This window comes from Homo sapiens, chromosome 7 (genome assembly GCF_000001405.40).
Source record: "Homo sapiens chromosome 7, GRCh38.p14 Primary Assembly".
NCBI lineage: Eukaryota > Metazoa > Chordata > Mammalia > Primates > Hominidae > Homo > Homo sapiens.
This window is the reverse complement of record NC_000007.14, coordinates 76,033,037-76,046,157: the sequence shown is the minus strand read 5'-3', so window position 1 is coordinate 76,046,157 and position 13,121 is coordinate 76,033,037. Positions and strand designations below refer to the sequence as shown.

Below are 13,121 nucleotides of genomic sequence, written 5' to 3'. Positions count from 1 at the left end.
CTGAGCATTTAACAATGGGAAATGTTTAGACAGGAAAGGAGGAGAAAAAAGGCCAAATAAAATCCTAGCGGGAAAAAATAAGCATAGGCCAGTATTCAGGGGACAGTGAATAGATCATTTATTTTGGAGTGGGGACATTAGGGCAAGCAGTGTCCTTTGTTTATCTTATCACTGACTGCATCTTCTGGTAATTATTTACTCCTCTGTCTTGTAACTGAGAGCACCTCAGAGCCAGGTATTAAGTCTTGCCAGGTACTAAGTCTTTCTTCTGTTTTTTTTGTCCAACATGCGACTGGGCTGAAAGGGCCTCAGTGAATTTGTGGAGAGTTGAGTGGTTTTAGGTACAGCTGGAAACAGCAGGTTGGGAAAAACTAGATTGTGCCGGTCCCATGAATGTTAGCTGAGAAGTTTGTATTTCATTTCTTGGGAAGCAAGTGTTTATCAAAGGTTGTTTATTTATTTGAGATGGAGCCTCACGCTGTTGCCCAGGCTGCAGTGCAGTGGCGCGATCTCGGCTCACTGCAACCTCCACCTCCGGGTTCACGCAGTTCTCCTGCCTCAGCCTCCCAAGTAGCTGGGATTACAGGTGTGCACCACCACACCTGGCTAATTTTTGTATTTTTAGCAGAGACAGGGATTTGTCATGTTGGCCAGGCTGGTCTAGAACTCCTAACCTCAAGTGATCTGCCCGAGTCAGCCTCTCAAAGTGCTGGGATTATAGGCGTGAGCCACTGCACCTGGCCAATCAGGCTTTTGTGACACTGCCAGAACTGTGTTTGAGGAAGATTAGACTGACCTTGTATGCTAAGAATTCCCAGGAAAAAAAAAATGGAGATTGTTTAGGAATCTATTCAGGGAGATTGTTTAGGAATCTATTTTATGGATGACAAAGGTCTGAATTACGGTGGTGGCCATAGAAATGGAGTGGGTAGGGCCAGTGTGGGAGAAGTCTCATGGGAAGAATGGGTAACAGTCTGTGCTCATCTGGGTTTGAGGAGTGAAAGAAAGAGGTGTGGAAAATACATAAAGAGGGAAGTCGGGTTATACAAAGGAGAGGAGAAAAATAAAGGAGGTTATACCAAAGGAGAGGAGAAAAAATAAAGAGTTCCGTTTTAGATGGGCTTAATTGGGAGTTATGCTGAGTTGTCCATATAGACCTTTCAGTGGTATGGGCCGTGTTCATGCCTGTAATCCCAACACTTTGAGCAGCCAAGGCGGACGATCACTTGAGCTCAGGAATTCAGGACCAGCCTGGGTAACATGGCAAAACCCCATCTCTACAAAAAGTACGAAAATTCTCTGGGCGTGATGGTGTGTGCTTGTAGTCCCAGCTACCCAAGAGGCTGACATGAAACAATCGCTTGAGCTCAGGCGATCGGGGGAGGTCAAGGCTGTAGTGAGCCATGATTGTGCCACTGCATTCTGACATGGGTGACAGAGCAAGATATGTCTCATTTAAGGGGGGAAAAAAGGAACTGTGGGATTGAAACTCAGGCCAGGGCGGAAGTCACCTCTGTAGAGGGGGAGAGTTGAGACCATGAGCAATAAACTGGAATCACAGATTGTCAGGCTCCCTCCCACATCTGGAATTCAGTTTCCTCCACATCCCTCCCAAGTCCTCATCTCCACAGAAGAGGAACTCGCTACCTCCCAAGCCTTCTACTTGGGCCATCCCAAACAACTTGACTGCTAGAAAAGCCTCACATTTGGCCCAGTGCAGTGGCTCATGCCTGTAATTCCACCCCTCTGGAAGGCCAAGGTGGGAGGATCGCTTGAGCCCAGGAGTTCAATACCAGCCTGGGCAACACAGGAGACCCTGTCTACAAATAATAAAAATTAGCCAAGCATGGTGGTATGTGCCAGTGGTCCCAGTTACTCAGGAAGCTAAGGCAGGAGAATTGAGCCTGGGAGTTTGAGGCTGCAGTGAGCTGTGTTTGCACCACTGCACCCCAGTCTGGGTGACAGAATGAGACCTTATCTCAAAGGAAAAAAACATAAAAAGCCTCACACTCAGCTCCTATCTGCCTCTCTCTAAGGAAATACCAAGGTAATTAACAACAGTCTTATTGGCTGCTGTATGAAGCACTGTGTGGTAGGCATTGATTTTACTTGGTGTTTTGCAAGTGAAACTTATATTAAACAAGCAGGGTTTCCACAGTCAAGAAGTAGAATTCAATCATGCAGCAGCTTTCTGTCTTTAAATCTTTGCTTGCCCTTGGATTGTGTCTGGTTACTAGGACAGACTTACTGTCCAGTTCATGTTAATAATCAAAACTAGGAATTTAATTCAAAGGTAAAGCTGCTTCTCTTCCCCTCTCAAGCTTTCTTTGGGCTCCCACATTTGAGGAGGACAGTAGTTGACTTCTGTTTATTTTGTTTCCTCTTCCATCCCACCCCAGCCCAGGCCAACTATGGCTTCTGAGGCATCCTGTGTTGGTGGAGGGGGTTATAAGAGAGTAGAGATGGGGCAAGAAAAGCCCCTTCGACATCTGGCCTTGTTACTGTCTCAGCTTGATGGGAATTTGTAACTGACTCTCCCATGCAGTGCTTCTGGGGGTCTTTCTTACCTCCAGTTCCCATGATCAGGTGGCCATCTCAGTCTTGCTGCTTCAATTCCTCCCTCAGCCCCTGGCTTCTGGAATCCTCCACCACATGCCATTGGTCCATTTTCCCTCTCGGTGGCCCTCTTGGGCAAAGTTCCTTTAAAATGGCTTCTCGGCTGGGTGCGGTGACTCACGCCTGTAATCCCAGCACTTCGGGAGGCTGAGGTGGGTGGATCACCTGAGGTCAGGAGTTTTGAGACCAGCCTGCCCAACATGGTGAAACCCCATCTCTACAAATACAAAAAATTAGTTGGGCACGGTGGCGGGCGCCTGTAATCCCAGCTACTGGAGAGGCTGAGACAGGAGAATTGCTTGAACCCAGGAGGCAGAGGTTGCAGTGAGCCGAGATCATGCCACTGCACTCCAGCCTGGGCAACAGAGCGTGACTCCATCTCAGAAAAGCAATACTAATAAAATAAAAATAAATGAGTAAAATAGCTACTAGTTGGCCTTCTCCCCTGCCTGGTCCATATCTGATCAACGGGAAACACTTAGGTATCCTTTGCCCCAACAAATTCTGGGGGTGCAGGCCATTTCAAATGCAGCTACCTCTTCTTGCTTTGCCAACAGCTCGCCAGCCTCACGCCAGCCTCAGATTTCCAGCCCAAGGCCTATTACCAGCCTCTGTGCCTGCACAAGCTTCAGAGGGCACAGGCCAAGCTACCCTAGGGGCTGGCTTCTGGTTTCATTAATTGTTCCAAGAAAGCAGAGACTTGTGAATGTTTGGAATCAGAAAGATGCTAATAGGGAGAGCTTTGAGATTCTGAAAGGAGAACAAGAGAGATTAGGTGAAATTGTATGAGATCAGAGGGTGCTTATCCCTTGGACTGTGGAGAAAAGCACATAAGGGCCGGCTGCAGTGGCTCATGACTGTAACCCCAGCACTTTGGGAGGCCGAGGCAGATGGATCACCTGAGGTCAGGAGTTTGAGACCAGCCTCGCCACATGGTGAAACCCCGTCTCTACTAAAAATACAAAAAATTAGCCGGGAGAGGTGGCAGTGCGTGCCTGTAGACCTAGCTACTTGGAAGGCTGAGGCAGGAAAATTGCTTGAACCCTGGAGGCAGGGTTGCAGTGAGCTGAGATCGCGCCGCTGTACTCCAGCCTGGGTGACAGAATGAGACTCCATCTTAAAAAAAAAAAAAAAAAAAAAAAAAAAAAAAAGCACATAAGGGCACCCAGGGAGCAGTTGGTGGAGGAGGGCGACTCACAGCCAGTGGCCTTAACTTTCCCAGGCAAGAATAGAAAATTAGAGAAGTTGCTCCCAAAGAGGATTTGGTTTGGATAACAGTTGTGATCACTGGGAAAATGCTGGTCAAATGTGGAAAAACAAGAGTGGGATTAGCTAGTGGCTATGAGGGCCAAGCTGAAGTTCTGTAATGTGTACTTGCTGTGTGCCCAAGTCCACATAGTTTTCTACAGCCCAGACCCCATACCAAGGTCACAGACATATACACAGACTCACACACATGCGTACATGCACACACATGCACCTGCAGATTCACATCCTGGAACACTTAAACACATCAATCTCGACAAGGGAATTATTTATTGATCTACGGTTTTCATACAGTGAAGTATATAGGTCTCAAGTGTTCAGTTTGGTTTTGACAAATTCCACCCTTGTAACAACCACCCAAAACAAACGATAAAACATTGCCATTATTCCAGAAAGTTCTCTCATGCTCCTTTCCATTCATCTGCCAAGACAGCTATTTCCTGATTTCTATGATCGTAAAGTTGCTTTGCCTATTTGTCATCGGATAGGAAAATATACAAATACATTGACAGCCTGTCTTAGTCTCTTTTCTGTTGCTGTCACAGAATGCTTGAGATTGGGTAATTTATATAGCAAAGAAGTTTATTTAGCTTACTGTTCTGGAGGCTAGGAAGTTCCAGATTGGGTAGCTGCATCTGGTCGGCTTCTGGTGAGGGCTGCATCTGCATCATAACATAGTGGTGGAGACAGGGAATTAGGCGTGGAAAAGGGAAAATGCAAGAGGAAACCTTGCTTTATAACAACCTGCTCTCAAGAACTAGTCCATTCCCTGGAGAAGACATTCATCCATCTTAATAGCCAAATCACCTCTTAAAGGTACCACCTCCCAATACTACCACATTGGGGACCAAGCCTTAGCATGAGTTTTGCTGGGGACAAACCATATTCAAACCATAACACACCCTCCTCACCCCACCCCTACACACCCACATGTACTGATCATTTTGTACCTTACAGTGGGCTTATATCACAATCATGTGCTATCAGATTTTGGTATTAGGTGCACACATTATATACTAACCTACCTTCTCTTCAACTCTAAAGTCATAGATCAAGTGAAGTATTTTACTATTTTAATTTAGTTTTTTTTTTTTTTTTGGAGATGGGGGGAGGTTCTCACTATATTGCTCAGGCTGGTCTTGAATTCCTGGCCTCAAGTGATTCTCCCAGCTCAGCCTCCCAAAGTGCTGGGATTACAAGTGTGAGCCACCACGCCTAGCCAAGTGAAGTATTTTAAACCGCTCCTTTTGGATCCCTGGAGCTAAAACAAAGGGTTAGAAAGGTGGTTATCATCCTGCCTTGCCTGGGAGTTTTCCTCATTTTTCTGTAGCTGCTCTAGGATATTGGAAGTTGGGGACATGTATTTTTAAAACAGAACCATATTTAGATAAATAGCTTTTTTTTTCTTTTTCTTTTCATTTTCTTTTCTTTTTTCTTTTTTCTTTTTTTTTTAGCTGTGTTGCCCAGGCTGAAGTGCAATGGCACGATTTCAGCTCACTGCAACCTCCGTCTCCCAGGTTCAAGCGATTTTCCTGCCTCAGCCTCCGGAGTAGCTGGGATTACAGGTATGCGCCACCACGCCTGGCTAATTTTGTATTTTTAGTAGAGACTAGGTTTTACCATGTTGGTCAGGCTGGTCTTGAACTCCTGACTTCACAAACCTCCTGCCTCGGTCTCCCAAAGCGCTGGGATTGCAGGCGTGAGCCACCGTGCCCAGCCTTAGATAAATAGCTTTAACTTTTATTTGGGCCTCCTACCTGCTGGAAGTCAAAGGAGTTGGCTTTCCAGGATAGGTCCCAGCAGAACAACCGGGAGGTGTTGGACTGGCCACAGCAGAGCCACCAAGGGGCTTCCAAGAGCTGAGAGTCGCTGATTGTGGCAGATCTGAGTCTGCAGTGAAGCCTTCTGTCAGGCAGACCAGCCTGAGGCCTGAGAAGGGAGAGCAAAGCCAGGTCACAGCCTGGTCAGGGCCATTAACTCATGTCAGAGAAGTGGAAGGTGGGGCCTGAGCCCAATCAGGGAGCAGAGGAAAAGCAGGCCCCAGAGACAGAGTCGGAGGAAGTGAGCCAAAGGTGGTGGTCACCGTCTTTGGAGACTGTGCTGTAGTTTCCAGACCCCACCACCGCCTCCTGACAGCCTAGTTGCCGTATGAGCAGACCTGTTACCCTTACAGGACCACTAGGGCACCTCTCAGGGGTCTAGCAGGCTTAGGTTTGGGGACATGGAATTGATAGCAAGATCTAAGGCAAGGAGCAGGGATGTGGACGGCTGGATCTAGGCCTCTGATCCATACCTGCTCTCCCTAAAATATAGAGGTACTAGCGATGGAGGCCAGGCGCCGTGGCTAATGCCTGTTATCCCAGCACTTTGGGAAGTTGAGGCAGGTGGATCACCTGAGGTCGGGAGTTTGAGACTAAGCTGGCCAACGTGGTGAAACCCCGTCTCTATAAAAATACAAAAATTAGCCTGTCATGGTGGTGCATGCCTGTAGTCCTTGCTACTGGGGAGGCTGGGGCAGGAGAATTGCTTGAACTTGGGAGGCGAAGGTTGCAGTGAGGTGAGATCACGCCACTGCACCCCAGCCTCAGCAACAGAGACACTGTCACAAAAAGAAAAAAAGGTGATAGTAGATACTAGTGATGATCAAGGCAAAGTTAGGAGGTTATGATGGCCCTGGTCTCCTCCTCCTCTTCCCTCTTTCTTTCTTCTGTGCCAGTGGGACCTGGTGTCCCTCTGAGTTAAGAGACAGATTTCAGGCCCACTTCTGCAGCCTCCACAGCTCTGGGGGTGTTGTGACCTGGGACTGTATTACCCAGCTTTGTCAAGGTTCAGGCCACAGAGAATGTGTCAAGCTGGGATTGAGGAAAGACTGTACCAAATCCCTTAAGATCCTGACCCTTGGCTGGGCGCAGTGGCTCACGCCTGTAATCCCACCACTTTGGGAGGCTGAGGCGGGAAGATCACTTGAGCCCAGGAGTTCGAAACCAGCCTGGAAAACATAGTGGAACCCTGACTCTACAGAAACTAAAAAAAATTAGTTGGCCGGGTGCGGTGACTCACGCCTGTAATCCCAGCACTTCGGGATGCCAAGGCGGGTGGATCACGAGGTCAGGAGTTCGAGACCAGCCTGGCCAACATGGTGAAACCCCGTTTCTACTAAAAATACAAAAGTTAGCTGGGAATGGTGGCACATGCCTGTAGTCCCAGCTACTTGGTAGGAGAATCGCTTGAACCTGGGAGGCGGAGGTTGTGGTGAGCCGAGATTGCACCACTGCAGTACAGCCTAGGCAACAGGGCAAGATTCCGTCTCAAAAAAAAAAAAAAAATTAGGCATGATGGTGCACACTTGTAGTCCCAGCTACTCGGAAGGCTGAGGTGGGAGGCTCACTTGAGCCCAGGAGTTTGAGGCTGCAGTGAGTGACGATCGCGCCACTGCACTCCAGCCTGGGCAACAGAGTGAGACGCTGTCTCTAAGAGAAAACAGCAAAACAAAATGTAACCCAAATATGACAAGAGTTAGTTAGCTCGCCTTGAGGCCATTCTCAAGAATGTCATTCAACGGTGGCTCACGCCTGTAATCCCAGCACTTTGGGAGGCCGAGGCAGGTGGATCATGAGGTCAGGAGATCGAGACCATCCTGGCTAACACGGTGAAACCCCGTCTCTACTAAAAAAAAATACAAAAAAGCCAGGCGTGGTGGCAGACGCCTGTAGTCCCAGCTACTCAGGAGGCTGAGGCAGGAGAATGGCGGGAACCCAGGAGGCAGAGCTCGCAGTGAGCTGAGATCGTGCCACTGCACTCCAGCCTGGGGTGACAGAGCAAGATTCCGTCTCAGGAAAAAAAAAAAAAAAAATGTCATTCAATTCCCAAACATAAAGCAGGTCCTGACAGCCTCGAAGTCACATAACGAGTAGGGAGGTTTTTCTGGGACGACAGAGGAGAGGCTCATGTCATCCCACAGAACCAAACACCCCCACATTCCTTCAGACCTCTCTGTTCTTCCCCATTGTTCTCTTCCGGAAGCGAGACCCTGTCTCTACAAAAAAATAAAAACTTAGCTAGGTGTGGTGGCATGCACCTGTAGCCTCAGCTACTCAGGAGGCTGAGGTGGGAGGATCGCTTGAGGCTGCAGTGAGCCATGATTGTGCCACTGCACGCCAGCCTGGGCAACAGAGTGAGCCCCTGTTTCAGGAAAAGAAACTGAGAGGGTAGGAGTAAAGGAATTTCCTAAGCTACTGCCATGTGTCAGGCCCACTGCTAGGCAATTTATATCATTTAGCTCTTGAATGATCCTATAGCTTTGCCAGTGTGTATTATCTCAGCTTACAGGTGAGGGCATTGATGCCTGTCACTATGTTTAAGCCTTGGTCATGCTGGCACAGCCTGAGCTTCCCACCGCGAACCAGAACAGCGGTGGGGATTGGCTGTGGACCCTGACCCTTACCTGGGCTGGTCAGCTTGAGCCAGAGTCTCAAAGTGAAGCTCATGGTCTGGCTTCTCCAGGATCATCAAGTGTTGTCTCTTCACCAGAAGCAAATGCCCATCAATTGTGTCCACCTGGACTGTCTTGGGGGTTAGGGTGGCTTGGCAGTTGAGCGCTGGGTCAAGCCTGCAGTATCCTCGAACTCCTACAAGAAGCCTGTGGTCAGGCCCAGCCTCTGACACCTCCACCGTCAGTCAGGATGGAAGTCCCCTGGGTGTTGAGCAGACACAGGGAGGCAGGGAGATGAGCTGGATCTGGCTGGGTCCCTGCTTAGTCACAGGCTCTGGCAACCTCTAATGAAACATCCCTTCCCAGTTGGCTGTTTTCCCCAAATATAGACACGTGCTGTCACTAGAGGGGAGCTTCCCAGCCCAACAGCTTCTGGACCATGCTGGGCTGACTTGGGGAGAGAGCCACCCACGAACCCCTGGTTTGAAGGCCAGACTAGGTGGTCATATGGAAGGTGACAGACCTTCCCCCTGGTGGGTGTACTGTGTGCAGGGACAAAGCCTGTGCTAGCACCCTGCTGTCTTGACAGTAAGTGTCTTTGGGCTGGGCATGGTGGCTTATGCCTGTAATCCCAGCACTTTGGGAGGCCGAGGCGGACAGATCACCTGAGGTCGGGAGTTCCTTCTGCCTTGGACACCCAAAATGCAGAGATTACAGGTGTGAGCTACCACACCCCACCAAGGGTCTCTTAAGAAGAGCTGGCCGGGTGCGGTGGCTCACGCCTGTAATCCTAGCACTTTGGTAGGCCGAGGCGGGCGGATCACGAGGTCAGGAGATTGAGACCATCCTGGCTAACACGGTGAAAACCCATCTCTACTAAAAATACAAAAAATTAGCCGGGTGTGGTGGCGGGCGCCTGTAGTCCCAGCTACTCAGGAGGCTGAGGCAGGAGAATGGCATGAACCCGGGAGGCGGAGGTTGCAGTGAGCAGAGATCGCACCACTGCACTCCAGCCTGGGCAACAGAGTGGGACTCCGTCTCAAAAAAAAAAAAAAAAAAAAGAGCTATACTGTGTTGAAAGAGTCCTGTATAAAGGAGGATGTCTTAAATTTGCCATTTTGACTCTGTTTTGAACAGGTCACCAGGAAAATGAGACTTGGTAGCCTGGCGAGGTGGCTCAAAAAAAAAAAAAAATTCACATGGAAAAGACTTGATCTTGGGATAAATAAATTTAATCAAAATTGAAAGTGAAAAAAATTGAAACTGGCTAATTGTGACATACAGAAAATCAAGGAATTAAAGTGGCTTAATGGATTCACAAAGGAAAATACTTTTGGCAAAAACTCATCTATATTACTTTAATATTTTTATGTAAATGCACGATACATCAGAATATCCTTGAGGGCTCAAATGGTGGAGCTAAGGACAGCTAAACTCTCCAGGGACCAGGCGTGGTGGCTCACGCCTGTAATCCCAGCACTTTGGGAGGCCAAGGCAGGCAGATCACCTGAGGTCAGGAGTTCGAGGCCAGCCTGGCCAACATGGTGAAACCCCGTCACTACTAAAAATACAAAAATTAACTGGACGTGGTGGTGGGCACCTGTAATCCTAGCTACTCAGGAAGCTGAGGTGAGAGAATCACTCGAACCCGGGAGGTGGAGGTTACAGTGAGCCGAGATCATCCCACTGCACTCCAGCCTGGGGGACAGAGCAAGACTCTGTCTCAAGAAAATAAGTAAATAAATAAACTCTTCAGGGTTCAGAATAGCACCAAATGGGATGGTTACTTGTGCTCAGTCCTCAACTTACCCAAGGCTAGAGGTGCCCTAATTTCAGTTCACAGGGATGCATCTTCTCTTGGAATCATGCTGTTAGGTTCAGGGACCGATCTCATCCTTCCAGCACTTTACCAGTGGATGAGGGGCAGTTCCTGCTTGACCAGGTAGAGTGCTTTGAGAAGGAGAAGGATCTGCAGAAGGAGATCCTTGGGGCTGGGTTTTTATCTATAGGACCAGAGATGATTCTTTGGCTAGTGAGTAAGGAGATAGAGTTAGCAATGGGGGAAAGTAGGTAGTAGCTGAGGATGGGTATGAGCCATAGACCAGATGGGTTAGGAGCCAGCTTTTAGTTTTGCTTAATGAGGTTGTAGGACTAGACACAAAGCCCACTTCTCTCCTCTATACTTACCACTGCCAAAGTGGCCTGGCTTTCAGAGGCAGAGGATGTGGAACCTGACTTGGGGGGTGGGAGTGAGGAGATCCTTAAGAGGAATCCACACGTGGAAAAAGTATGATGGCAGGTCCAGATGGCGGTGTTGGGAAAGGCCATAATGGTAACTGACAATAATGTATTCATTCCACATGTGTTCATTGACTATTACTTTGCAGCATGTAAATCTGGGGTATTGGGTGAGGACCTAGCAGTGGACAAGACAGGCAAGACCTTCCCTCAGAAACCAGGAGACAATAAACAAGCAAATAAGCACAATAACTTCAGGTGATAGTGAGGTGAAGACAAGGCCCTACTCAGATTTTAAAGATTTCCCGGACTATTATGTGAAGATGAAACTGGAGGGAGGAAGGAGGAAGCAAGAAATCCAGTTGGGCACTACTGCCTCATCAGGAGAGAGATTGTAGTGTCCTGGACCAAGATGGTACCCCTGGAGATGGAGAGAAGTGGATGGACTTGGAATACATGAAGGAGGCAGAGCTCAGAGACTGGATGTGAGGGAAAGGGGAATGAGGTCATCGGGCCCAAGCAACTGGGTGGATCATGGTGCTGTTGATTGAGACTGAGAAGGCTAAATGAGGAGCAGGTACTGGAGGTGTGGGCACGAGAGCATTGAAGTTGTATTTCGGCCATGCTGTATTTACGATGTCTACCAGGCACCCTTCTAGAGTCTGCAGCTCAGTAGACAGGTCAAGGTGGGATAAAATTTGGGAATCATTGGTATGTGTGTGGTATTCAGGGAACTGGATGAATCACTGTGACTCTAGGTCTTAGAGTGTTGGTCCTCAGCTACGGGTGATCTTGCCCCCTTCTTCCAGGGGACCCTTAGTGATGTCTGGAGATACTTTCTGTTACTGGTGATGGGAAGAGGTACAGTTTGCTTCCGGCATCCACTAGGCAGAGGCCAGGGATGCCACTCAACATAGCAGTGCACAGGCCAGCTCCCCACACATAGAGTTACCTGGCCCCGGACGTCAGTGGTGTCAAGGTTGAGAAACCCCCTACCCTAGAGTGAGTGTAGATAAAGCAGAAAAAAAGGAAAGTAAGCCCGGGGGCATTCTTCCATGCAGAGCTGGAGAGGAACAGTCTGCAAGGAAGAAGGGAAGCTTGGAGAGTGCTTTTTCTTGGGAGGGGAGAGTGTCTGGGGAAGAAACAATGCTCAGCCGTGTTACATGCTCCTAAGAGGCTGAGGCGTTTGAGCCCAGAGGGAAGTGACCAATGGCTTAGGCAAGATGGACATTGTTGATGACTTTGATACAGAGCAGTCTTTGTGGTTTGGTAGGGTTGGAAGCTCCAGGGGAACCAGCCTGGGCAACATAGTGAGACCCCATCTCTTAAAAAAAAATTAGCCGGCCATGGTGGCATGTGCCTGTAGTTCCAATTACGTAGGAGTCTGAGGTAGGAGGATCACTTGAGCCCAGGAGGTTGAGGCTGCAGCAAGCTATGATAGTGCCACTGCACTCCAACATGGGCAACAGAGCAAGACCTTGTCTCAAAAAAAGGCAGCAGCTCCAAAGAAGTAGGTTATGCCCATGGCCAGTACTCACTGAGTATTTCCTCCCTGCTTAGAATGCCTGACAAATGTGACTTCATGAATCCACATACACCAGGCAGGTACTGTCACCCTCATTATATAGAAGTGGCAATATTATTCTCACCCCCATTTTACAGAGGTGGGGACTGAGGCACAGAGAAGCTAACCACTCCTTAGGGCCAGGCAGCTGATAGTGAATCGCAGAGCCAGGATTCAGACCTAAAAGAGTTTGACTCCAGGGACAGCATAATTGGAGGTGAAGAAGTGGAGGCGGTAAATGAAACACCACGCTTTTGAGAGATGGTGTTTCTCTTTCCACGCTTCTGCTGGAAAGAAGAACAGATAGGTACAAGAGGATGTTTGCATGTCAACAGGAAGGACCCATGTGGAGGCTGAAACTGATGATGCTGTGGAGGGGGTGCTGAGAACTGAAGTCTTTGAGGAGGTGAGAAGGATCTGAGGTTTAAGTTGAGGTGCTGGCATTTCCCAGGAGCATCGTCTGGTAACTCTGAAGTGGAGCCTAACCGTTTAGAGCAAGATTACCCCTGGACTCAACTTCTCCCCTTCGCCATCCCCCACTGGCCTCCAGAGGCTCCACTCTGCTCTCCTTCTAGCCCTCTTGCTAAAAGATAGCTGGCCAGGTGCAGTGGCTCACACCTGTCATGCCAGCACTTTGGGAGGCCGAGGAGGGAGGATCACTTGTGGACAGGAGTTTGAGACCAGACTGGGCAACATAGTGTGAGACCCCCATCTCCACAAAATTCAAAACTTAGCCGGGCATGATGGCATACGCTGTAGTCCCAGCTACTCAGGAGGCTGAGGCCAGAGGATTGCTTGAGCCTGGGAGTTTGTGGCCGCAGTCAGCCATGATCACACCACCGTACTCAAGCCTGGATGACAGAAAAAGACCCTGTCTCAAAAATAAATAAAATAAAAGCCTTCCTACAGGAAGCTCCTGCACAGGCCTGACCCTTCCAGAAACAATTGGGCCCAGGAGCCAGTGTCCCAAGAGCAGCTCTGCCAACTGGAGCCCGAGCCTAGCTC

The 13,121-nt window shown here is 48.9% G+C and overlaps 1 protein-coding gene across 12 annotated transcripts in view; it reads left to right on the top strand.

The window, feature by feature from the left end:
* Positions 1-13,121, top strand: part of STYXL1 (serine/threonine/tyrosine interacting like 1) — a 51,664-nt gene that overhangs the window by 1,843 nt on the left and 36,700 nt on the right. For 4 of the 12 annotated variants that reach the window (XM_047420466.1, XM_047420468.1, XM_047420467.1 and 1 more), the window contains exon 2: positions 12,452-12,522. The exons of the other annotated variants lie outside the window; for them this stretch is intronic. The gene's annotated coding sequence lies outside the window, so the exon portion shown is untranslated. The remainder of the gene's footprint in view (positions 1-12,451; positions 12,523-13,121) is intronic. 12 annotated transcript variants of the gene reach the window in all.